The following is a 23594-nucleotide window of genomic DNA, read 5'->3' as shown; positions in this document are numbered from 1 at the left end:
TTCTATTAATTATATTGGACTGATAAAAAATGCCTTTTTACTAGAAGGCAAGCAATGTAATTGAGGACACTGTCAAAGAAAGAACCTAATGCCGCTTTTGGTAAATTCTTTGAGAATGGCAAGTGATTCATTTTAATTAACAAAAATGACAATACCAGTAATAAATAAAAATTAATAAAGTAAGGAAAGGAGGCCTTACTGTACAATGTTAGAGCTGGTAGAGGCCTGAGCAGTTACCTAGTCAAATCACTGACTTTAGAAGTTGAGAAACCGAGGCCCCAGTGAAGAACCTGTCTGAAGGCATCCTGCTGCTGGCTGGTAGGACAAGAACCAGGTATTCCACACCCCAGCTTGGTGATCGGCTCGTCACTACTTCCCACCAGCTGTAACCACTCAAGATTCCAGGATTCGACATTTTTCTAGACTACTATGTCCAGCAAAGCACACACAAGTGCCCCTGTTCACACAAGAATCCACCCTCCTGCACACACGATACCAGGCATTTTGTGACTTTGATTACCTAAATCACAAGTCACATGTCATTAGCATCTTTGCTGTAAACTTGTTTTATGTCCTCTTGAGGCCAGGCACAGTTGTGAGCACCCGGGAATGGTGAGTTAGTTATCAGAGGCAGGTTACTGTGTTACAGGCTCTAATGTCACCAGGAAGAGACGCAAGCATGGAAGCAGCTTAACAATGAACAGGTCAGTCCTCTAGCTCAGGAATGTAACTGAACAAACCAGGTTATAGTTATCACATATCTGCCGATGACTCAAGCAGATCAGGTATTTATGAACTGGATCCAGTGCTTGACAATACCCTGTTACAGTACTGAGGAACAGATGACTTTTGTTCAAGGTTTAGATCCTCCCTCTTGTATATCACTAAAGCACCTCGGATGCCCCTCTCACACCGTTATATATGTCTACCTACATACCTGTCTCTCCCTCCAGACTGTACTCTGGGGCAGGAACCAAATCTCACTCCTCTCTGTGTCATAACTGTCTGGCACAGGGAAGGTACTAAGAGCATTAGTTGAATGAATGAAGGAAGGAAGGAAGGAACAAATGCATTCACTCACTGACAGGGCCCATCTCTCTCTAAATGGCTTCCCCAGGTCTCTCCTTTGCTGACCCCTCCACCCTGCACAATGCCCCTGTTCCTACAGAAACCAGTCAAGCCTCTCAGCAGCCACCACTCGGCTTTGCAGAAATATTTGTGATAGGAAGAATGCAATTCTGCTAAGAACAGCCTAGTAAAGTATTTTCTTCAGCCAAAGAGGAATTTGAATAAAAAAAAAAATCAGGAAATTCCTAAATACCTGGGTAGAAGATCACAGCCCACTCCTATCTCTCTGGTTTCCACTTCGGTCTTGGCCTGGGTTTCTGTTAAATAGTCCAACCTGCTTTGTAGTTCATTATTCTGGAGATGAGAAAAAAAGGTACTTTCAGTAAGTCAAATATGTTCCCCCTCAAATATGCATGATACAATTTATATGTATTATCTGATTTTGCCCCATGACATGGGCAACTATCACAATGTATTTACAGAGCATCACTTACACAATAGTTGTTGAAGAAATAGATTGACTGAATGCATACAAATGGCTTGCTATGCATGTACAGACATGTGCATCCAATTTTACATAAATGAAAACAAAATATTGTAATCTATGTTATAATCTGCTTTTTCAGCCACTAATTTGTTGTAGCTATCTTTCCATCTATATTAGTTTTCTTTTTATGTCAACAAACTATTTTAACTCATTAATAGTATTCCATTCTATGGATACATTATTTATTTAACTAGTCTCTTATTGATGGGCATTTAGATATTTATCACGTTTTTGCCATTATAAATAAGGTACAGCCCAACTTTTAACACCTCCTCATTAAACTATAAAATGAGCAAGTCTGTTAATTTAATTTAACAGTGGGAAATACCTCTATAACTTAATTAGTCTTTCGTAGGTGTGGAAAATTCAGAATCTCACACATATAAAGTAGAACAAGCTCCTTGGGATTAAAATTCACATTCTGAAAAGTTTTTTTTCTTTCGGGCCAGAGCCAAACATTACATAAGTTAAAGATTAGATGCTCAGCAATTGGAGATTTGCCTCATGGGGGAAATGAAGGACAAAGAAGCAAGAGATACCAAAATGAAAATAGACAAAGAAGTTGAAGATACTGAAATGAAAATAGACGAAGTGCTGGTGCCTGAAATCCGAAGGGCAAAAATGCCAAAAAAAAAATATTCAGAAAGAAGTGAACAGTGGTTATGTCTGCGTATTGAGATTCTGGGATGCTTTTTAAAAAGTGCTTCTATATATTTTTCAGTAACGCTAGACTAAATGTTCATGAAGCAGTGATCATATCTATCTTCCTGGTTGTATGCTCAAAGCATGGCATGCAGCAGATACAAGATAAATATTTGCTAAATAAATAAATTTATAAATGATTTTACAATGAGCAGTTTATTTGCATAACTAGAAATGAAACCATTTGTTCTTTTCTTCTTTAAGTTGGAGCTGAAGCTGAGGCACTATTCTAAGACACTAGGTAACACAAGAAAGTTTAAAAGTTCTATGGAGACAGAAGCTCATTTGTTTTGAAAGAAAGGATGTGGGTTAAACATTCAGTAGCTCCCGCTCTGAAAGGTTGATACCAAGGAGCAACGTATCAGTTCTTGTGAAAATCCATGTTCCGTACAATGTAAAAGTCAATGAATCCTTTCTGATAAATAAGAAATGGTGTAAAGGAAGAGAATGCTTTCCAGATTCCTTAGTAGATGACATGCTATGACAGATCGATGGGTTCTGAATCTATCACCTCATCCCCAGTGCTGGCTTATTCCCGGAGAGTCATCAGCATTCACACACACACACACACACACACACACACACACACACACACACACACACACACACGCATGCACGCATGCGCACACGTGCAGACAGAGAGAGAGAGAGAAAGAGACAGTGAGCTTCCCCAGCAATGTCTGAACTCTCCAATTTATAAAAAAAGAGAAAGGCAGAAGACGCCTGCCTTTGCTGGATACTCCAGTAATACCATCGCCTTATCCCTTCTTAGTGTAAAGACTTTAATCATAAGGATTTCACAGCATGCTGGGTCTAATACCTATAGGTAGGGGGCCTAAAAGACAAGGTTAGCAAATATGCCGCAACTGATACACAGTGAATGGAGGACAAATGACCCCAAATCCTTTGTTCTATTTCATGGGAACTCTGTGTGTGCACAACAGACACCCATAGAAACAGAAATAAAAAATGTATACTCATGAGAATATAATGCAATCAGTAGAAAAATTATTGTATATCTACTATATATCAGGCAGTGAAATTAGGTGAGGGAAGAGTTAGAAGTTAAAGAAATATGGCATGATTTGCAACCCTTGAGGAGCTCGGTCTTGGGGGAATACAGATAACTGAGCAGCAAATAATAGAACGATGTGCTAAGTAACATTATAGGGGGATCCACAGAATATTAAGAGGGAACTCAGAGGGGACATCTGACTCAAAATGGGGACAGCGGTGGAGTTTCTGGAGTTAGGCAAGGGAAAGAGAGTAAGAAAAATCAAAGGTGATGAGTATTCCAGAACTGTGGAAACACACTGGGTTGAGAAAAGGCACCTTATTGCATTACACAGGTGTGTAGAAGTTATTAATGAAAGGCTATGTATGCCACTACAAGAAGTTAGAAATCAATCTTACAATAGCAAGGTCAGCACCAGAATTTATTTTAATCACCTGGCTCCCAAGTGAAAGCTGGATTGGAGGAAAATAAGACTAAAGACAGCAGGAAGACCACTGCAATTATTCAGCTAAAGAGTGGGGGCTGCACTTGCAGTGAGAGGAGTATGCACTCAACACACTGATCCTGCTGCAACTCACAGCTGTACATTCTGAATAACAGATTAGAAACAACTAATGAGATCTCTAGAGAAGTGAACAAAGACAGGCAAGTTTTGGAGATGAGGTGAAACTTGAAGCATGTGGCAAGCAGTTCTCTATATTCTCCGTGTTTTATTATTTTTCTTTTTGCTGGCAGATTTGCCCTGAGAGCAGCACAGTCATGGTGGTGGCAGTAGAGATAAAGTAAAATATTAACAGAAAGATCATCTTTCTGGGGGAAGAAACCCGGAGAAGGATGCCAGGGCTACTAACAGTAGGGGAGAAGGCAAAAGAGGAGAGTCAGAGTTGGGGGAAAACACTAAATTCTTGTATACAGACTCAGTTCAAGTCTCTGGTAGACCACTGAACCATGCATGTCTGGAGAAAACTGAAAGAAGTTTGCAGCTAATGTTTAAAGAACTGAACTGAGATCTGCCATCAGCATCACAGACAGGCAGGATGTAGTTGGGTCTGGCTAAATTCATTGCCTTTTAAAACAAGAACCCAACAAAGCACTCACAATGTCCAGCTTATAATCCAAAATTATGTGACATATAAAGAGTCGGGAAAATAGTACCCACTCCTAAGGGAAAAGAGAATCAACAGACACCAATCCTGATGTAACTATGATGTTGGAATTTTCAGACAAAGACTTTAATGCAGCCATCATAACAATGATCAGTCAGACAAAGAAAAATATGCTTACAATTAATGAAGTAGTAAAAAAAATAGAAAATACAAAAAAGAACTAAATGAAAATTTTAGAACAGGAAAGTACAATACCTGAATTTTTTTTTAAAAGTCACTAGATGGACTTAAGACTGAAGATGGTAAAGGAAAAAGTCAGTAAATTTTACAATACATTAATATAAATTATCCAATTGAAAGTAGATAAACAAAAGACTGAAAACAATAAATGGAGCACTGTGGAACTGTGAAGCAATTTGAAAAGCCTAACATACGGGTTTTTTAGTCAAAGGAAGAGAGGAGAGGAAAACTAAAGCAGAAAATTACTGTAAAACATAATAGCTGAAAACTCCCCAAATTTAGTTAAAGACATAAATTTACAAATTCAAGAAGCTCAGTAAACCCCAAACAGGATAAATTCAAAGAGAAACACATTACAGTCAAACTTCTGAAAACCACAAATGAAGAAAAATCTTGAAAGCAACCTGTTATATACAGGAGCATAATCATTTGAATCACTACAGATATTTCATTAAAAACCATGGAACCCAGAAACAATGAGTACCAAGAGAAATAAACCGGCAACTTAGAGCTCTATATCTTTCAATAATGAAGGCGAAATAAAAACCTTACTTTCAGATAAGAAAAACTAAGAGAATGTTTTACCACCTGGCCTGCACTACACAAAATTCTAAATAAAATTTCTTCAGGCTGAGGCGAGATGACATCAGAGAGAAACTCAGACCTTCAGAAATAGAGTATATATGAAAGAATCTAGTTTCTCTTAATTTCTTTAAAGTACATATGATTGTTAAAGCAAAAATGATAATCATGTATCATGGTTTTATAATGTATATAGATACAATACATATAAAATTATAACCACAGGCACAGCGGTAAATGAACGTATATCATGGCAAGACTTCTACATTTTAAAAGAAATGGTACAATATTATCTCTAGGTGCACAGTGAACAGCTAATGATGTATACTACAATACCTAGAGTAACCACCAACATATTAGAGAAAAGAGACACAGCAAAAATGCCAATGGATAACTTAAAATGGTATTTTTAAAAAATTGAAATAATCCAAAAGGCAAAAAGGAGAACAAAACAAACAAGCAAGCAAAATAAGCAAAACAAACCAGAAGGAACAAACAGAAAACAAATAATGAAATGGTAGCTCTAAATCCAATCATATAAATATAATTAAATATTAGTAAACTACATACTCCAATTAAATGGCAGAGACTATAACTATGTATAAAAAAGCAAGTCCCAACTATTTTCTATAAGAGATGTACTTTAAATACAGAGATATAAATCAGTTGAAAGTAAGTGGCTGGAATAATATATAGCACGTAAACAGTAAATATAACAGGGTAAAAATGGCTACATTCATATCAGTTAAAATAGATATCAAGACAAAGAGTATTGACAAAGGTAGGGACCAACATTTCATATTGTAAAGATCAATTCATCATCAAGACATAACAAAAATGTGTATATACCTAGTAACAGAGTTTCAAAATACACAAAGTAAAAACAAAGAAAGAGACAGTCTAAAACCATGGTAAGGGATTATAACACCTTTCTCTCGGCAATTGATAGGACAATTACACAAAATCCAAGAAAAATGTCAGTTATCTAAACAATATTATCAACCACCTAAACCCAACTGGTATTTGTAGGATATACACAACAGCAAAATATATATTTTTTCACAAAAATTTAATTGAAACTATATGCTGAGCCATAAAATAAGTCCCAATAAATTAAAAGTTAAAACCATACAAGCTGTGTTCTCTGACTATAAAAGTATTAAATTAGAAATAAAAATATCAACAAAAATTTCAACTATTTGGAAATTAAATAACCTGCCTCTAAATAATCCATAAATCAAAGAAAAATCTCAAGGGAAATTAGGAAATATTTTGAACTGGAAGATAATAAAAGTAAAGTATATCAAAGCTTGTGAGATGCAGGTGAAGCAGAGATTAGAAGGACATTTATAGCTTTAAAGGTTTATATTAAAAAAGAAGAAAGGTCTAAAATCAATGACCTAAGTTCTACCTCAAGAAGCTAGAAAAAGAAGAGCAAAGTAATCCCGAAATAATTAGAAGGAAGGAAGTAATGAACATCAGGGCAAAAGTCAATAAAATAGAAAGCAGACAAGCAATGGAGAAAATCACCAAAGCCAAAAGCTATTTTAATTATTTTTTAAAATCAACAAAAATTGATAACCCACTATCTGGTTAAAGAAGAGAAAGAGAAAGAGAGACAGAGACACAGAGTGGATAAGATAGGGAGAGAAAGAGGGTACAAATAATATCAGAAATTAAAGAGACATTAAAAGTAAACAACTGGGCATCTGTGTAGAAAAAAAGAGTATTGATACCTTTGCTTCACACAAAACCCAAAAATCAACTTAAAATGGATCAACTAAATAAACAAGTAAAAACCATAAAATTCTTAGGGGAAATCACAGGAGAACATATTTGTGACCTTGTAGTAGGCAAATATTTCTCAGGACACAAAAGACAAAAATCATAAAAGAAATAAATGGTTAATTGAAAACCAAAAATAAAAAATCTCTTCAACAGGGCCTGGCATGGTGGCTCATGCCTATAATCCCAGTACTTTGGGAACCCGACATGGGCTGATCACTTGAGCTCAGGAGTTCGAGACCAGCCCGGGCAACGTGGTGAAACCATCTCTACTAAAAATACAAAAATTAGCCGAGCGTGGTGGCATGCACCTGCAGTGCCAGCTACTCAGGAGGCTGAGAGGTAGGAGATAACTTAAGCCCAGGATGTCAAGGCTGCATTGAGCCAAGATTGCACCACTGTACTCCAGCTTGGGTATCTGTGCAAGACCCCATTGCAAAAAAAAAAAAATATATATATATATATATATATCTTCAACAGACATCATTAAGAAAACAAAAAAGTAAGTCACAGGATGGGAGAAAATGTTCATAGCACATACATCTGACAAAGGACTCGAATCCAGAATATATAAAGAACTCTTCCAACTCAATAGTAAGAAAACTAAAAGCTCAATAAAACAACGGACTAAAGATTGGAACAGACACTTCAAAAGATGAAACTTATAAATGGCAAAAAGCATATGAAAAGATTCTCGAAAAGAAGAAAAGATGCTCAGCATCACCAGTTGACAAGGAAATGCACATTAAAACCACATGAGACAGCACTCTATATCCCCTAGCATGGCTCAATTTATTTTCTTTTGTTTTTATTTTTATTTTGGAGCTTTCAAAGCCAGAAAACCTACTAGACAAATTCTAAAAGCTATAACACTGAATGGCTAAATTTAAAAGGTTGGCAATACTAGGTCTGGGTTAGGATATGGAGACACTGGTACACTCAAACTGCTGGAAAATTAAAATACTACAACCCCTTTGAAAAACTGACGGTCTCTTAAAAAGTTAAACTTATACCTCCTTTTACGACCCAGCTATTCCACTACCAGGAATTTACCCAAGAGGAACTAAAACTATCTTCACATAATGAGTTGTACTCTAATGCTCACTGCAGCTTTATTCACAATAGCCCAGAGCTGGAAACAACTCAAATGTATTTTGTCAGCTGAATGAATAAACTGCGATATATTCATACAATGGAATACCACTCTGCAACAAAAGGGAATGCATACAACTTAGATGCGCCTCAAATCATTATGCTGAGTGAAAGAAGCTGGACAGAGAAGAGGGCATGCTATATGATTCCATTTCTAGAAATGCAAATCATACAGTGGATTCCCACTAAATGGAAATCCATAGTGACCAAAAGTGATAAAAAGTGACTCACCATCTACAGAAAAAAAAGATCAAGAATTGCCTAGGGATGAATGGAAAGCTGGGTTGCAAACTGAAACAGAATCTTTGGTGGGGTGATAGAAATTCTCTCTATCTTGATTGTAGTGGTTATTTCATGGGTATAAACACTGTCAAAACTCAGTGGATTATATGCTTAAACAGAAACACTTACTTATGTAAGTTAATAAATAACAGAAACTTATTTATGTAAGTTAATAAATAACTAAGTTGATAAGGTAAAAAATAAAAGATGATGAGAGCCTGAACATGGGCAGTAAGAGGAGAGTTAGAGAGCGTGGGACAGATTTAAGAAAAGTCTTTAAAAATTAAATTAACCGATTTGATACAATAAATCAAGACTATCTCCTTCTTAGTCTTGCAGAATATGACTACAGTGGAACGACAAAGAATAGCCTCAGACTGCTGCCTGGACTGTGCTACAAAAAAGATTGCTTCTGGGATTGAGAAGCAAATTCCATGGTTTTCCTGCTTTCAAACACCACCCCCTTGTGTTTATATGTGTAACGAATACCAACCCAATGGCTTGGGAGGCACATGTGCCTTTCACGAAGGGAGAAAATGTGCAGCACTTCTGGACATTTTTTGGAAATTATGTCACGAATGTTTGGCGGTCACCTCCCCCACCATTCCCCTCAGGCCCAGGGGTGTGGGCAGCTCGGGGGCTGTAGCACATACACTGAATGTGTGTTCCATAAAATGCATGTGGGGAGCCGAGTGCCTGGTGCTGCCGCTCCAACATTACACAGAAAAATTAATAATAGTCGCAAGAATGCATAACAGACACACTGAGAGGCTCAGGTGCTACACAACACACATTAAATGCAGGATGGACAAAACCAAGACATTTGACTCCTTTCCTCTGACTTTTGAATTGAGCTGTAAGTGTAGTATATCCGACAGAGAAAAGTGTAACGAAATCTGTTCAGAGTTTCAGAAAGCTTATGAAGATAAATGCTTGCAATGTTATTTTAAGAACATTTTCTATATTGGAAATGGAGAATATTTCTTCTTCTCCAGAAGTTGAGCTAATAAAAAAAATTGTTTGAAAAAAAGAAAAAGAAAAAAGAATGGGCATATTTTTGTTATCAGGAAGATTTTCTTTTTCACATTTATTTTAGAATCAGAGGGCACATGTGCAGGTTGGTGACAAAGGTATATTGTGGGATGCTGAGGTGTGGGGTATGACTGAGGCCATCACCCAGGTAATAAGCATAGTACCTAGTAGGTGGTTTTTCAGACCTTTTCCCCCTCCCTCTTTCCCGCATCTAGTAATCCCCAGTGTTTATCGTTCCCATGTTTATGTCCCCTGAACACCGCATGTTCTCACTCATCAGCGGGATCAGGAAGATTTTAAATTGGTTGATGAAAATGTAGTCTGACAGGGCCAGGCTAGAGCAAGCTTTTAGGAGTCTGCTGTGTCATTTGGATTTGGGGCAGAGGGAGGAGGGAGTTCAAAATCTAATGAGTTTAAACCCAGGTAAGCACAAATGATGAATCCAGGGACTAAAATAATCCATATTCTCTGTTTTAAAAGAAAAGAAGAAGGGTTCTAGAGTGTCAGCCATGACCTAGGAAAGGGCCTGTCCTTTTCTCCGAGCCCAGGATCAGGTAGAGGGTGTTCCCTTAACTGTCTAGGATCCTAATACGATTTCAACATTTCAACAAAGTTTTCAAACATTAAAAATGGTAATAATCTCAGAGTTGATCTAAGCCTTCTCCCTTTTTTAAAGATGAACTAACCGAGTCCAGGTTGTTGGTGGCATGATTTGCCCAAGGTCATGCACAGATAATGGCAGAATGTGAGTCAGAACCGAAGTCTCCAAAAGGTTGAGTAATTAAGAAAGAATTAACATTTGTCCATCTTTCGCACTGTGCCAAGCACAATTCTAAGTCTTTTGTATCTATTATTTAATCATAAAAAGTTTCTTTCAAGTGGGAGGGATTATCCCTATTTCACAAATGCTGAAACTGATGCTCAGAGGGGTAGAATTACCTGCCCAGAGTTACTCTGCTTGTAAGCAGAGGTGTCAGGGTAAAAACACAAAGCCCTTAGGTATAACTGCAGAGTTACATAACACTAATGGTGCACTAGTAAATTTTTGACAATAAAATCCCTAGGTTAAAAAGCTCTGATTGTGACATATGTCAATTTCTGTGGTGTCAAGACCTCCTCCATAGCTAATTGCAAGCGACCAACATGACATCCCCAAATGGAGACCTGAGAAGTGATGCATGTCTTCCGCTTTCATTAACCAGTATGAAGCAGCTCCAGCACAGTGCTGGATATGTCATGCAGTCCTGAACCCGTAGCTCAAGAAGCAGAACAGCTAAAGTGTTCTTGGGGAACAGCTAGGAACTGGACTAACTGAGGACATGTGTAAGAGCCAAGGCTCTTCAATCTGAAACTAAGGGTTGCTTCTTTAAAACCAACAGCACTGTGGCTAAGAGGAGCACAGGCATGATCAATAAATCCCCAAATACTGCCTGGGCATGGAGCCAGAATACATAATAGGAGTAATGACATCATACAAGACCATCAGCTTATGACACTTAAACTCTAAGACTTGATATGAATCCCAAACTCCTATGAATTCTGCAAATATCGGGGCCAACTGCTAAAAGAAGCTGAAATATTGCCAGCCTATAAGACTCACGTCCAGCCTCACCCTCCCAGGATGAACCTTTCAGGTTGCTGCAGGCAAAGGACTGCTGGGCCCTATGGCCTGCTAGTAGGACCTGGCTTGTACAATCCCTGCTCATGTTCACCTAAAGGTGAAATTCTCTTTGTTAAATTATCACACAGCTGAGTTTGATGATAGTCTCCAACTTTGAGGATGAGCAAAAGAGAAAGAGTGATTCATTATGGGACATAGCTATAAATCTAAAATATTTATCAATGACAATAAAAGAGTCCCTGGGACGCAGGCAATTAAAGAAACAGTAACACATATGGCATTTACCATGAGCCAGGTACTTTTCTAATCACTTAAGTATTAACATATTTAATCATCATAACAACTCTATGGAGAGGATGCCACTTCACAGAGAGAGTTCCTATTTACCAATAAGCCAACTAAGGCATAGGACAGTTAATTAACTTGCTCAATATCACATCACTACTAAGTGGCAGAGCTGAGATTTGTACTCAGGTAGTCTGAGTCTGGAGTCTGCAATTGCACTCTTCACAAATGTAGCTACTTATTAGTAAGATGGGGAGCTACCAGATTTATCTACCAAAACTTTTGTGGTTTCTTTTAGGAGGTATTAATTAGATATCTATTTAAAAGTTTTCTGTTATGTTAGAAAGAATAACTAAAGAACATGTAAGTTAGGTCACCCCAGGACTTCAGGACCTGGAGAAGGACTGCTTAGCATCCGTGCCGTAGAGCAATCAAGTGGAGAGTTGGGCAGCAACGTGTCAGCATTAGCTATCATCCACAATTAGCAAGGAACAGCGTCGGCAGAGTGTGTGTAAATGATCAGCTAGTCTGAGAGCCAAAGAGGAAAACCAAGTATTTGAATGTCACCTCTGATTCCCTAGGAGAGGAGATCTCTACATGGCCTAGCTATGTATGATGAAATATTGATAAAGAATGCATAAGTTTTTAATAGTGCTAAAGACAGTGATAAGGAGTCCTGTGTTTGAATCACCTTGGAAGAAGCCACTGAGGGTCCTGTGACCCAACCAAGAACCTATGTAACCCACATCCTCTAATCTTAGCAATTTAGAGAAGGTATCCTTTCTCTTTTGGATCTCAAAGATGACTGCACCTGTCTGAAAGGTGTCAAAATGATGTTAGCCCTAAGAAAATATTGAAAGAAGTAAAACAATGGCCTCAGGAAGGTTTAAAAAAAAAAAAAACAAGAACAGAAACAATGACAAAATAAATTAAAACCCATGATATTTAGTATTTTAGAATAGGTTTAAGTCTAAATGTATTATTAAATCTTGTTATTATGCAACTTTTTTTGTATATATTGTCTGCTATTTAAGGTGGATGTGTGAAGTGGCCAAAAGCAATTAGTCATAATAAATTTGTATTGGAATTTAAATAGTTTCAGGGAATTTAATCAATCAAATTGATAATCATTATTGATATGCTCAAAAAAAAACTGGTTTTCAAAGTCTTGCTTATTAGATAGACATAGCTGACACTGCCACCCACCCCGCTACATCCTCTGGGCATTCCTGTTTCCTAACAGGCCACTGGTGATTCTTCATCTGGGGGCTTCCTTTGACCACCAGAGTCTAACTGGCTCTGCCGAGGGCAGGCTAGAACTGCCACAACCCCCCAGAGCAGGCCTCAGCTAATGACTGATGGGAGTTAGTGGATAAATGCCCCAGCTTTCTGGCCTTTCAGTAAGGAAAGCTCAGGGCCACTTCCACACCATCTCCCAGAGATCCCCAGCAGGAGTGAGCCTCAGCTGTCCTCAGGGCAACCTCCTTGATATGGCACCGCTATTGGCTCTCTTCCCTTCCCTGTCTCATTTTCCCCATTCCCCTAGTGGGGCTTCCTGAGATCGCCTCCCAGATAAACTATCTGGACTCCACATTTCAAGGGCTGGAGCAACCCAAACTAAGGTGAGACATGAGTTTAATACACTGAGCATAAACCAACATAGCTATTTCTAAGATTACTCCCCATGTGCAATATTCCCTTGGACATTTAAGAATCTACCAGTAGGAGAGCTTGCTTTAGCAGCACAGCCAGAGGTGGGGGTGGGGGGCACTGTCTTGGGGGACCTTCTGCCTCTCCTGTCAGTCTGTCTTTCCTCTCTCCTGTGACTGCCTTCTCTTTGGCCACATGGGCTTCCACTAGGGCACTCATTTTCTGACTCTTACTGGGGAAGGTGTGCTTCCTCCCACAGGGAGCTGCAATTTCAGAAAGGAATCTTAGAAACAGAAATGTTCATTCACAAGGCTGGCACTGAGCCAATGACTGTGGCAGGGAAGACAGGAGTGGAAATGGGGAAAATACCCATTTACTCAGCTTCAAAAGACAGAGACTCTTGGGCGTTGAATCTGGTGCCAGGCCCCTATGGGCCATGAGGGACTTCTGGTTATGACTGCTGTAAGGCAACCCCTCAAAAACAGAGTAAAAGAAGGCTCAGCTCACCACCCACTCAAACATGGTGGTTCAGAGCTCAGGATCTGGATCCAGGCTTACCCATCTCTACTGTAACCTTGGGCAGACTTCTTAATACCCCCGAACCTCAGTTTCCCTATCTAAAAAAGGGGGAAAATATCATCTAACTCAGAGGGTGTCCCTTTTAATAAAGAGGGAACAACAATAATACGTTTAAAATTATTGAGTGCTTAGTACATGCCAGGCACCTTCTATACATTCTGATTTCACTGTCACCCACACATAGCACAGTTATGATCCCTCCTTTATAATGATAAGAAACTTCCCCCACATCACCCAGCTGATAAGAAGCAGATCCAGGGTTCACACTTGGGTAAGTTGGATTCCACTCTTAACTTCTGTGTTACACAGAACATATCCAAAGTAACTAACAGTGCCCAACACACAGCAGGGCTTAATCAAAGTTTTCTCTTCTCTTTCTTCTTACTTTATCATTGTCTGCTGGGCTCTCTCACTGTGGAAGGACTATAACGAGGAACACAGATAAGGACAGGTGCTTGGCAAACCAGCTTTTCAGGAAGTCTCAAAAGGCAAAGGCTCAATGCCAAGCTCTAATAAAGAACCTTTAGAGCAAATAGATTTTGACTTCTCCTTGTAAAGTTCTTCCAACCCCATAATATTCTTCTCTGGAACATATACAAAATCCCCAAATGACTTTCAAAAAGCCAGAAAGTCAAGAATACTAAGCATCTGAAAGTTTCAGGTAAAATTAAGTCCCCTCTAACACATCTTCACTCGCTGTGACAGGAGAGCACTGGATTTAGGAGTCTTTCAGCCTGGCTCTGACATTTATTAAGCTGGGCAACCTTGAGCAAAACCACCTGTCTTCTCTGTGCCTCTGTTTTCTCATGTATTAATACAGAGATAATAATCTTAGTCTTGCCTTTCTTAAAGTTGCAGAGAGAATAATGTAAGGAATGTATATGAACATATCTCACAAATTATAAAGCACTGGACAAATGCGGGGAATTATCAGTGCTAATCAACAGCTTATCAGGCTTGCTAGGATGATTCTTTAATAAGAAAAACTAGAGCCAAAAAGCAGAAGTCAGCAGCAACTGGAATGAGGGGAGTCCGATGGTAAAGGAAAAACAGCTGTCAGAACCTCATTTTCAAGGCTGGCACTTAACCCTCAATCAATTTTATAAGGCCGGGAAATAGCCATATTTTTAATTAAGTGTCGGTGGTAGGCTTAGCAACATAAAATTTAATGGTAGGGAAGACACCAACTTAAAGAAACAGAGATCCTTACCTCTCCTTCTAAGAAAGATATCTTTTCTAAAAGCTGCAGTATTAAGAGCTGTTTCTGTTGCAACTTTTTCTTTAATGATTCAATCTAGAAAGAAAGGGATGGAAAATTGTTAATCAAAAATGTACAATTGTGTAAGTACAGGTTTATCAACTGGAATAGATGCCCTTGGTTTTCATTTATTTTTATTTCTATTTCTATTTTTCCTCATTTCCAGTGGGGCTGGATGGTTTTCATTGAAACAGCCTGCATACTGATTCTCTGTGTTTCGTGGAACAGTATTAACGCGAGACGCTCCAAGACAGGCGGATTGTGTGAACAGGTGAGCTTGGGGCAGCAGACATGATTCTGGAGTCACAGCTCCTCAGCTTTGATTAATCCAACATTTCCACACTGATTTTGCTGTGTAACCCTTTAAAACAGCCAGAAGATCTTCCAGAGAACATGCTTTGGGAAATGTAGATACAACTCTCCAAAAAATGATTATTCGGCTTGAATTTGCAGGGCAGCCTGCATTTCAAACATTTGGCTGTGTTATTCAATACATTCATATTTGTTCAACCAAGTGTCAAAAGTTGGTTTGAAAAAAGGATCATTAGAAGTCTCATTAAAAGTGTTGAAATTCAGAGGACTGAAGACTCATGTGGCCTGGAGTAAGCAAGAAAGGCTTCCTAAAAAGATCCATCTTTGTTTTTTATAATATATTCTATCTTAGACTACTCTTTGTTTTCCAATCATACATCATGTCTCCCTAGACAAACCATAGCTTCCCTGAAGGCAGGAACCAGAGTACTCTGTACCAGGCCGTGTTATGCATAATAGTGGGAACAGTATGCAGGATCATTAATAACACATTAACTTTCCAAAAATCCTGTATATTAAATTTGTGTGCTCACAAAATTATTTCAAAAAATCACTCTCAGGCCGAGCACAGTAGTTCACTCCTATGATCCCAGCACTTTGGGAGGCCAAGGGAGGAGGATTGCTTGAGCCTAGGAGTTCAAGACCAGCCTGGGCAACATAGTGAGACCCTGCCTCTACAAAAAATCAAAAAATTAGCTGGGTGTGGTGGTGTGTCCCTGTAGTCCCAGCTACTTGGGAGGCTGAGGTGGGAGGATTGCTTGAGCCCAGGAGGTCAAGGTGGAAGTCAGCTATGATGATGCCACTGCACCCTAGCCTGGGTGACAAAGTGAGACCCTGTCTGAAAACAAAACAAATTTTAAAATCCTTCTCATGCAAAATGACACTATTCCTATGGAAGCGAATATAGCAGTATCTAGAAAAAGTACATATGCATTAACCCTTTGACTCAGCAATTCCATTTTTAGGAATAGATACCAAAGATACACTGGCCAAAATATGAAATGATATGAACAAAGGATATGTGTTATTTTAGGAAACACAAAACAGAACTCCATCAATAAGCGACTGGTTAAACCATGCATGGTATGATGGAGGTCTGTGTAACCTTCCAAAAAATGCAGATCTCAAAAACACTGATGAAGTGTATGGCAAGGTAGACAGTATACTCGCTTTGATGTAAAACAGGTGGGGACACATGAATGCACATGTATTTGCAAAAGAAACACTGCAAAGACAAAATGAACCCTAATTATTAATAAATAGCTACCAATAGGGAAAGGGAAGAACTTAGGTGAAGGAGACAGGATAACATAAGTTATTACATAGGTTTATGTAATAAACATAAGCCTTGTTACATAGGTTTAACTTTGAAAGCATATTTTACAGATTCAAAAAATAAAATGAAGCCAAAAAGAAAAAAAGTGAACCCTAAAATCTGAGAACAAACTGAATTGAAGAAACGATGTATATCAAATTGGTGAGAAGTATTAATCCAAGTGTTATTAGAATACAGTAATTTGACTCAATATTCTTAGTGGATTATTAAAGATAAATAGAGCTGCAAAGTAATCTCTCATTCACTGAGAAGATTGTTAGCAGTAACACTGAAGTTATTTTGAAACCGTTTGATGTATATTGTGGTATCATCATGTTTGGAACCAAGATTTTTACTGTAAGAGAAAGCAATACAAGTGTGAAATCAAAGAAGTAAACAAAATTTTGTTCAATTTAAAATGACAATATCAGTATGAATTCATAATTTTTATTTTCTTTTGTAAAATATGTATCTCTACACTATCTACTGAGAAAACTTGGAAACAATAAGAACATAACATGTGCAGATTGTGGTCTCTAAATAGCATTCCCCACTAAAAAAACACAGGACATCTTGGTGGAATGGCTCATTTCAGGGGACAAAAAAATAAACTAGATGAACGTGAGATACCTTGTTATGCCTGAAAACAAGGACATGAGGTGTCTCCCCTTGGGCCAAGGATGGAACATTCTGAACATCAAAAATAATAATGAGTGTAATTGAGTAAAACACATGAAATATAAAGATATTAAAGAACATGACTATTATATGTCTTTAGAATAAAACAGTAACAGCTCACTGGACTCCAATGGATGTAAAAAAGGCATCAACTCCTTACTTGGAAAGGAGTTTGGAGGAAAAAATAAAGCATCTGTCTTGCCTTCTCTGTTCAAACTGCATTTTGAGACTCTAAAAAGCCCTAGTTTTACTTGACAGAATAATTCCAGTTAATCAATGGCCAAGGAATGACAGAATTAGAAAATCACAATTTTGCAATTTCTATGAAATAATGGCTTCAAGCATCCATCATCAGTAGATTAAACCATGATGGTAAAAGCTAATGAAAAAACATTCAATCATGTTTTGGGTTGTCACCACTTGACTCCATTATCAGCCTTGGCATCACCCAAGGTGGAATAACCAGGCATTATACACCCCAGAAGTGATACACGATGAAACACACAGCATCACCCATGAAGTGTTCTTGCCTTTCCGAAAAGGTGAAACTTGATCTAATCAAGCTTCTAGAGCTAACACGGACACAAAAAGTCGAATCCAGAATGTGAACATTTTTACAAGACAACTGACTCAGTTCTTAGGTACGAATAAAAGTAGTCGGGAGAGATGGGGCAGCAATGCTCTAGATTAGGAGACTTTAGAAACATAACTAAATGTAAACACAGTGTATGCTGATTGGAACAAAGCATCAGAAGAAAAGACACTTTGGAAAATGTTATTGCAGGTTGGTATTAAATAATAGCAAGGAATTATCATTAATTTTGTTAGGTGTGATGATAGTGTTATAATTATGTAAGAAAAAGTCCATATGTTCAGAGATGCACGGTGAAGTGTATAGGAAACATATGCAGAATGTCTGGGATTTGCTTTAAAATACTGCACAAGAGGGGAAAAAAGAGGAAGGAGTAGATAAAGCAAGTATGGCCAAATCTTGCTATTTGCTGAACCTGGGTAACGTAGAGGGCTCCATCAATTACTCTCTCTGTTCTGTGTGCATTTGGCATTTTCATTATCAAGTATTTTAAATTTCACATGGTGTCAAAAAATGTAATCCTTTGACATGAAAAGTAAACCATACAAAATAGAACAGAAACACCCGTAAGAAAAAATGTCCAATGTTAATAATAGTTAAAGACATCACCAATTAAAAACAGCAATGGTTACCCTTGACTACCTATTAAATTTGCCCAAAACTATTGACTGAAGAAATGAGCGTTGGCAGGACTGGGAGGGGCAGCTCCTCTCCTGTGTTGCAGGTGGCATTGTGAATTAGTATGACCCTTCAGGCAATTTAGCAATAAATATTAAGAGCCATAAAGCTGTTCATACCCTTTGATCCACTAATCCCACTCCTGGGAATTTATCCTAAGGATATAATTCAAACATAGGAAAAAGCTCTATATATAAAGATGTTCTTGCTCCCATTATTTATAATAGAGAGAAATAAGGTTATTTCCATTAATATGGACTATTAATGTCTAGCACTAAATAACCTTAATGTCTAGCACTAAAGGAAAGGGTAATAAATTATGAAATATCAATTTCATGGAGTATACTACACAAACACTAAAAACAAATATACTGCAAAATGGAAAGTTTACAAAAAGCCTCAAGGGATAGAAAAGCAAAAGTTTACAATGATGAAAGTAAAAGCTGGAAGAGAAGTTGGATAAATGCAATACTTCTGGGGTTGTGGTAGGGTTAAAGTTTGTTTTGTGTAAACTTCCTTCCATTTTTGTAGAAATAGTTCCCAAAAATTACTCTCACGGTATGTCTTTTTCATTCCTTTTTATAGTATTAAGATTGTTAAAGTTAACTTTTAAAATCTTTAAATGAAAGGCAAAATGGAACTAAAAGCTTCCAAGAAAGTCAGGGGTAATATTTAATCAAATGATGTAAAAAGTGATTTCAAATACACTCGTTTCACTGTCTCTGAAGAAATCAGAGTGGCTTGTGAGGCAAGGAAAGCAAGAGAGGTGGTTTTAAAACACCTTAATGAGCAGCTCATAGTAAGATATTGAGAGGATCCTACTGGTCACTGTCCCCTAGATGGTAGTTTAAAAAATAAATCAGTGAATGGTTAATACATCACCTAGAGAGAGTGCTATAGAGAGAAGGTCTCTAGACTTCTCATGAGAGAGCAGAGGGCTGATGCTAGTCTGGAGAGACACTTGGTTCTGGGGAGAAGGAGCTGGACAGGAGTAGGATTTGAGGGTGCGGCAGCTTCTAACAAGGCTCATGGTTTTCAGCAATGGTGCTCCAAGAAACAAGTATGCTATTGTGCTGAATTAATGCTATCTGTGCAGATTTGCTTTTATCCTGGAACATTTCTTACAGAAACTTCTTTTCTAGTATATTCTGTGATCTGAATTGACTTGTTCAGATAAGAGCACTAAGGATGCTAAGGCTGGCAGAGTCAGTGCACTGCCGGCCCCAAGGGGTGCCAACCTTGAATCCCAACTTAGTCTCCCCAGTGGTCTGCCCCGAAGAACCTCCCATCCCTTTCCCAAGTGACGCACTCAGCTTCTAAAATAAATAGACTCACATGCTCCTGGGTTTGATAGCCTCCTAGGAACATCTGACTCTCAAGCCTTTGGTTCATTTTTTACAAACTTTAAGTCACACACTTGTGTGGCTGGTATTGTTTCTGACTACTAACTTCAAAGAACCTTGAAATATTGTCTCTTGTAGCACCTAGCACATGATAAACACTCAAAAGGTAGCTATTATTATATGATTACTGATGTTTCTCCTTCCCTAGGCTGTGAGTTTCCCAAGAGTAAAGACTTTGATCATCTTTATATTCTCAGATAACAAATGAATGAATCAACAAATCCATCCAGCCATTCCTAAACAATCCATCCCATAGACTTCAGGGGGAAAACTGTCTGGATCAGATGCTTGGAGGCCCAGTTGGGCCAAGATGATCTTGCTAAACACATGTCCCCAGAGCAACCCCCAAATCAGGAGCTACTCCAAAATCCAGGTTACCATATAGCTGGTATGCAAGAAATCCATTAGGCACCTTTGATCTCACTTCTTGATGCATTAAATGTTAAAGTTTGACCTTCAATTTACCCTTCACAAAGCTGCATTTAGTTCTAGCTGTCACCAGGTGGTGGTAAATGACGCAAGTTACCAAACTCAAACCAGGGCATTAAGAACTGAGAAATTAGAAGCACTCATTTTCTGGACCTCACCTATTTGATTTATACAAGAACAGAATCTTGCAACAGCTAAATTTAAATACAAAACAGTAGGCCTCCTTATAGAACAAGGGGAAAAATACACTTTCATAAAATCTGGGACCTTTTAACTGATGTTAATAGAATTTTTTCTAATTTTTCTTTTGATGAGTATGTTTCTTTGTAACTCAGACTGAATATGTGAATATGGGCCTTGCAGCCCGATCAATCATGCAGGATGTTAGTCTCTTAGAATACAGGCCAGTTTGATATTTAAGGAGGGAGGGGAAATAAAAGTTCTTTTAGTTTCTTAAAACTGATCATGGCTTTTTTTTTTCACATTAGCTACAATCGAGTTACCTGCATAGGTGGTTTGAGCTAAGTAATCATCCTTAACCATAGCCACACGCTGGAAACCCATGGAGGGAGCTTTTACAAAATACAGGTGCTCTGGTACCAGGAATGCAGACTATCTCACTCTCCCAATTAAAAACCCCCTACGCTTTTAATGTTCGAACTCACTAGCATGGCACGGGAGGCCCTTCCGCTGTGCTCCCTATTTTCCCACTTTCATTTCATGCCCATCCTGTCCCTACAATGAACCCTATATTTAGGACACTCCATCCTCTCAGCACTGCATGAACACACTATGGTCCCGCCTCCAGGACTTTGAACACACAGGCTGGTGGCTCCATTAGGAATGCCTCCCCACCCTCCATCCCCTTTTCCACCAGAAAAACTGCTGCTGTCACAATCTACCCACAGTCACCTAGGCCAGCGCTTTCCAAGTCCTCCAGGCTGCCTTTGTGTCCCCCTTCTCTGTGATAGCTCAGCCTTTGAACCTACCCCTGTTAGGACACATCATAGTTACTGCCATCCTTAGTTGACTTTTTTCCCTTGTACTAGACCCCAAACCCACAGGGAACAAGTGTTTAGTGCATCAATTATCTCATATAAAAGATAACTTCTCTCAGGAGCTGAAATCACCCTTGCCAATCTGCACATTTAAATAAAAACTGCGTTAGAAACAGATTGCTATAGCTAAAAAAAAAAAAAGTCCCCCCAATATGTTTTGAAAAGAGCTTATACGTCAACCAGACCAAAGTGAAATTGTACAAAAATGTAGTATGGTTCTGTTATGGATTCAGTGAGGAATCCACAGCTGGAAGTTGTGAGGCTTCTCAACTTCCTGGAATTTCTTCCCATTAGTAACATGTAGGACACAGTCCATTTCACATCAGAGGACAGAAAATGAGATGGCTGTAGCATTGTAGTCATGTGAGTAGCACTCAATTGTGCAAGACTCATGAAACATAACTCCGTATTGAACTTGGAGAGAAATTAATGAAGAAAACACAGCAGCAAATAAGTATTAAATACCAGACAGCGCTTGACATGGGCTGTTAAGAAATTGTGCTTTGGGGTATTTTCTTTCACCAGCTGGCAAAGGATAACAAACACGAAAAATGCCTTATGTAAAACAGGAAACACACCAATACAGAGCATATAAAAGGTGCACATCACTTTGATTATGTACTGGGAGTGTCATGTGTAGAATCAACTCCCCCTCCTGCCCCCTCTTACTGATAATAGGAGGTAGGTTAAAACTGACGTCACACTTAGGAGTTTCCCGCTGAAACAAAGGAAAACCAGCCATGATGGTAACAGAAGATGTCACACTAAAACTTGATCAATCTCTCACAAATGAAAGGCTAGCCAAAAGAGGGGAACCATTAAAATAATTAATTGGGAGGCCATTAGGCTGAGGTGGCTCCAGTGCCTTGGGTTCTGACCTAAGCAAACTGAAACCCATGTCAGAATGAATGGTCACAGCTTAGGAAAATGAAATTTAAATTTAACCAATCAGAAAACACCAACTAACCTCTAACCTCTAAATAGGGACTTTTTTTTTTTTTTTTTTTTTTTTTTTTTTGACAGCGTTTGCCTCTGTAACCCAGGCTGTAGCATAGTGCTACAATCATAGCTCACGGCAGCCTCAAACTCCTGGGCTCAATGGGTCCTCCCATCTCAGCCTCCCAAGTAGCTAGGATTACAGGTGTGATCAACTATGCCTGGCTAATTTTTTAATTTTTTGTAGAGACAGGGTCTCGCTATGTTACTTAGGCTGTTTTCAAACCCCCAGCCTCAAGCAATCCTCTTGCCTCAGCCTCCCGAAGTGCTGGGATTACAGGTGTGGCCTAAGTAGGGACTTTCTGCTTTAACCAATCAAATATTTTCCTTGTCTTGCTTCCATAAACACCTATAAAAGTTTTCCCCTCAAGCCCCCTAGGTGAAGCCCTCAATTGCATGTGGCCTGGTGCTGCCTGCTCAAATAAACTCTTTAAAAACAGAAAACGAAAAACAAAACTGATGGTCACATTTAATCAAACTGTTTAAATCTTATAAGGAAAATGGAATTCAGTATTTTAAATCCACATTAAGTTTATTTTATTTGAACATTTATTTGACATTATTGTTTATTTTATTTAAAATTTGTTTTATTTTGTTTTCATTTTAAATGAATGAAGCCTGAGTGAGCTCTAGAAAATTCCATCCCTGACCTAGTCAGTTCACCATTTCCCTGGATTTCTATGGGGAACTTCAAGCTGTTTCCTTGCGAAATTGTCAAATTTTCAAATAATGTAATGGCATAAACTTCCCCTGCAATAAACATTTTAAATTATTTTATTTGAAATTTCTTTATAATGTTTTCATTTCATTTTCATTTCATTGTTTTCAAAATCAGAGTGTCGGGGCTGTGTGTACTTGCACACATCGCAAAACTCAACCACAGGTTAATAAATACACCAAAGCTCCCCAGCCACCATCCCCAACACCCCTGCTTTGTTATTCCTTCTCGTGGGCCCTCATTTATAGACATTCTGCTTAAAATGGCTTTAACGAAAGAATAATTCATTTCACATTGAAAATGTTATCAAAGATGTATAACTGCCAATCAAAGCATCTAATCAAAACGAGATTACTAGGGCTATGAATTCTAGGTCAAAAGAGAGGAATATGATACTTTATTGTGAGTTCTTACAGCCTTTTCAGGGGAAATTTATGCCATCACGTTATTTGAAAATTTGAAAATTTTACAAGGAAATACTTTGAAGATCCCCATTATTGTTTTCAAAACC

The 23594-nt window shown here is 38.3% G+C and overlaps 2 protein-coding genes and 1 pseudogene across 10 annotated transcripts in view; all 3 read right to left on the bottom strand.

Annotated features, from left to right (window-relative positions):
• Positions 1-23594, bottom strand: part of GCOM1 (GCOM1, MYZAP-POLR2M combined locus) — a 125654-nt gene that overhangs the window by 41168 nt on the left and 60892 nt on the right. For 3 of the 8 annotated variants that reach the window (NM_001285900.3, NM_001018090.6, NM_001018091.6), the window contains exons 11-12: positions 14857-14940; positions 1322-1422 (exon numbers count right to left, since the gene is read on the bottom strand). The exons of 1 other annotated variant lie outside the window; for it this stretch is intronic. In NM_001285900.3, the coding sequence (NP_001272829.1) occupies positions 1322-1422; positions 14857-14940 (185 nt within the window). The remainder of the gene's footprint in view (positions 1-1321; positions 1423-14856; positions 14941-23594) is intronic. 4 more of the 8 variants (NR_104367.2, NR_104368.2, NR_104369.2 and 1 more) reach the window with 2 other exon arrangements.
• The window catches only part of MYZAP (myocardial zonula adherens protein), a 93461-nt gene that overhangs the window by 8975 nt on the left and 60892 nt on the right, over positions 1-23594 (bottom strand). Inside the window, exons 11-12 of one of the 2 annotated variants that reach the window (NM_001018100.5) lie at positions 14857-14940; positions 1322-1422 (exon numbers count right to left, since the gene is read on the bottom strand). In NM_001018100.5, coding sequence (NP_001018110.1) covers positions 1322-1422; positions 14857-14940 — 185 coding nt within the window. The remainder of the gene's footprint in view (positions 1-1321; positions 1423-14856; positions 14941-23594) is intronic. The other variant, NM_152451.8, reaches the window with a different exon arrangement.
• On the bottom strand, positions 7866-7920 carry LOC124903589 (uncharacterized; annotated as a pseudogene).

Source organism: Homo sapiens, chromosome 15, assembly GCF_000001405.40.
Source record: "Homo sapiens chromosome 15, GRCh38.p14 Primary Assembly".
Classification (NCBI taxonomy): Eukaryota; Metazoa; Chordata; class Mammalia; order Primates; family Hominidae; genus Homo; species Homo sapiens.
Note: the sequence above shows the minus strand (reverse complement) of the source record. Positions and strands in the feature narration are given on the sequence as shown.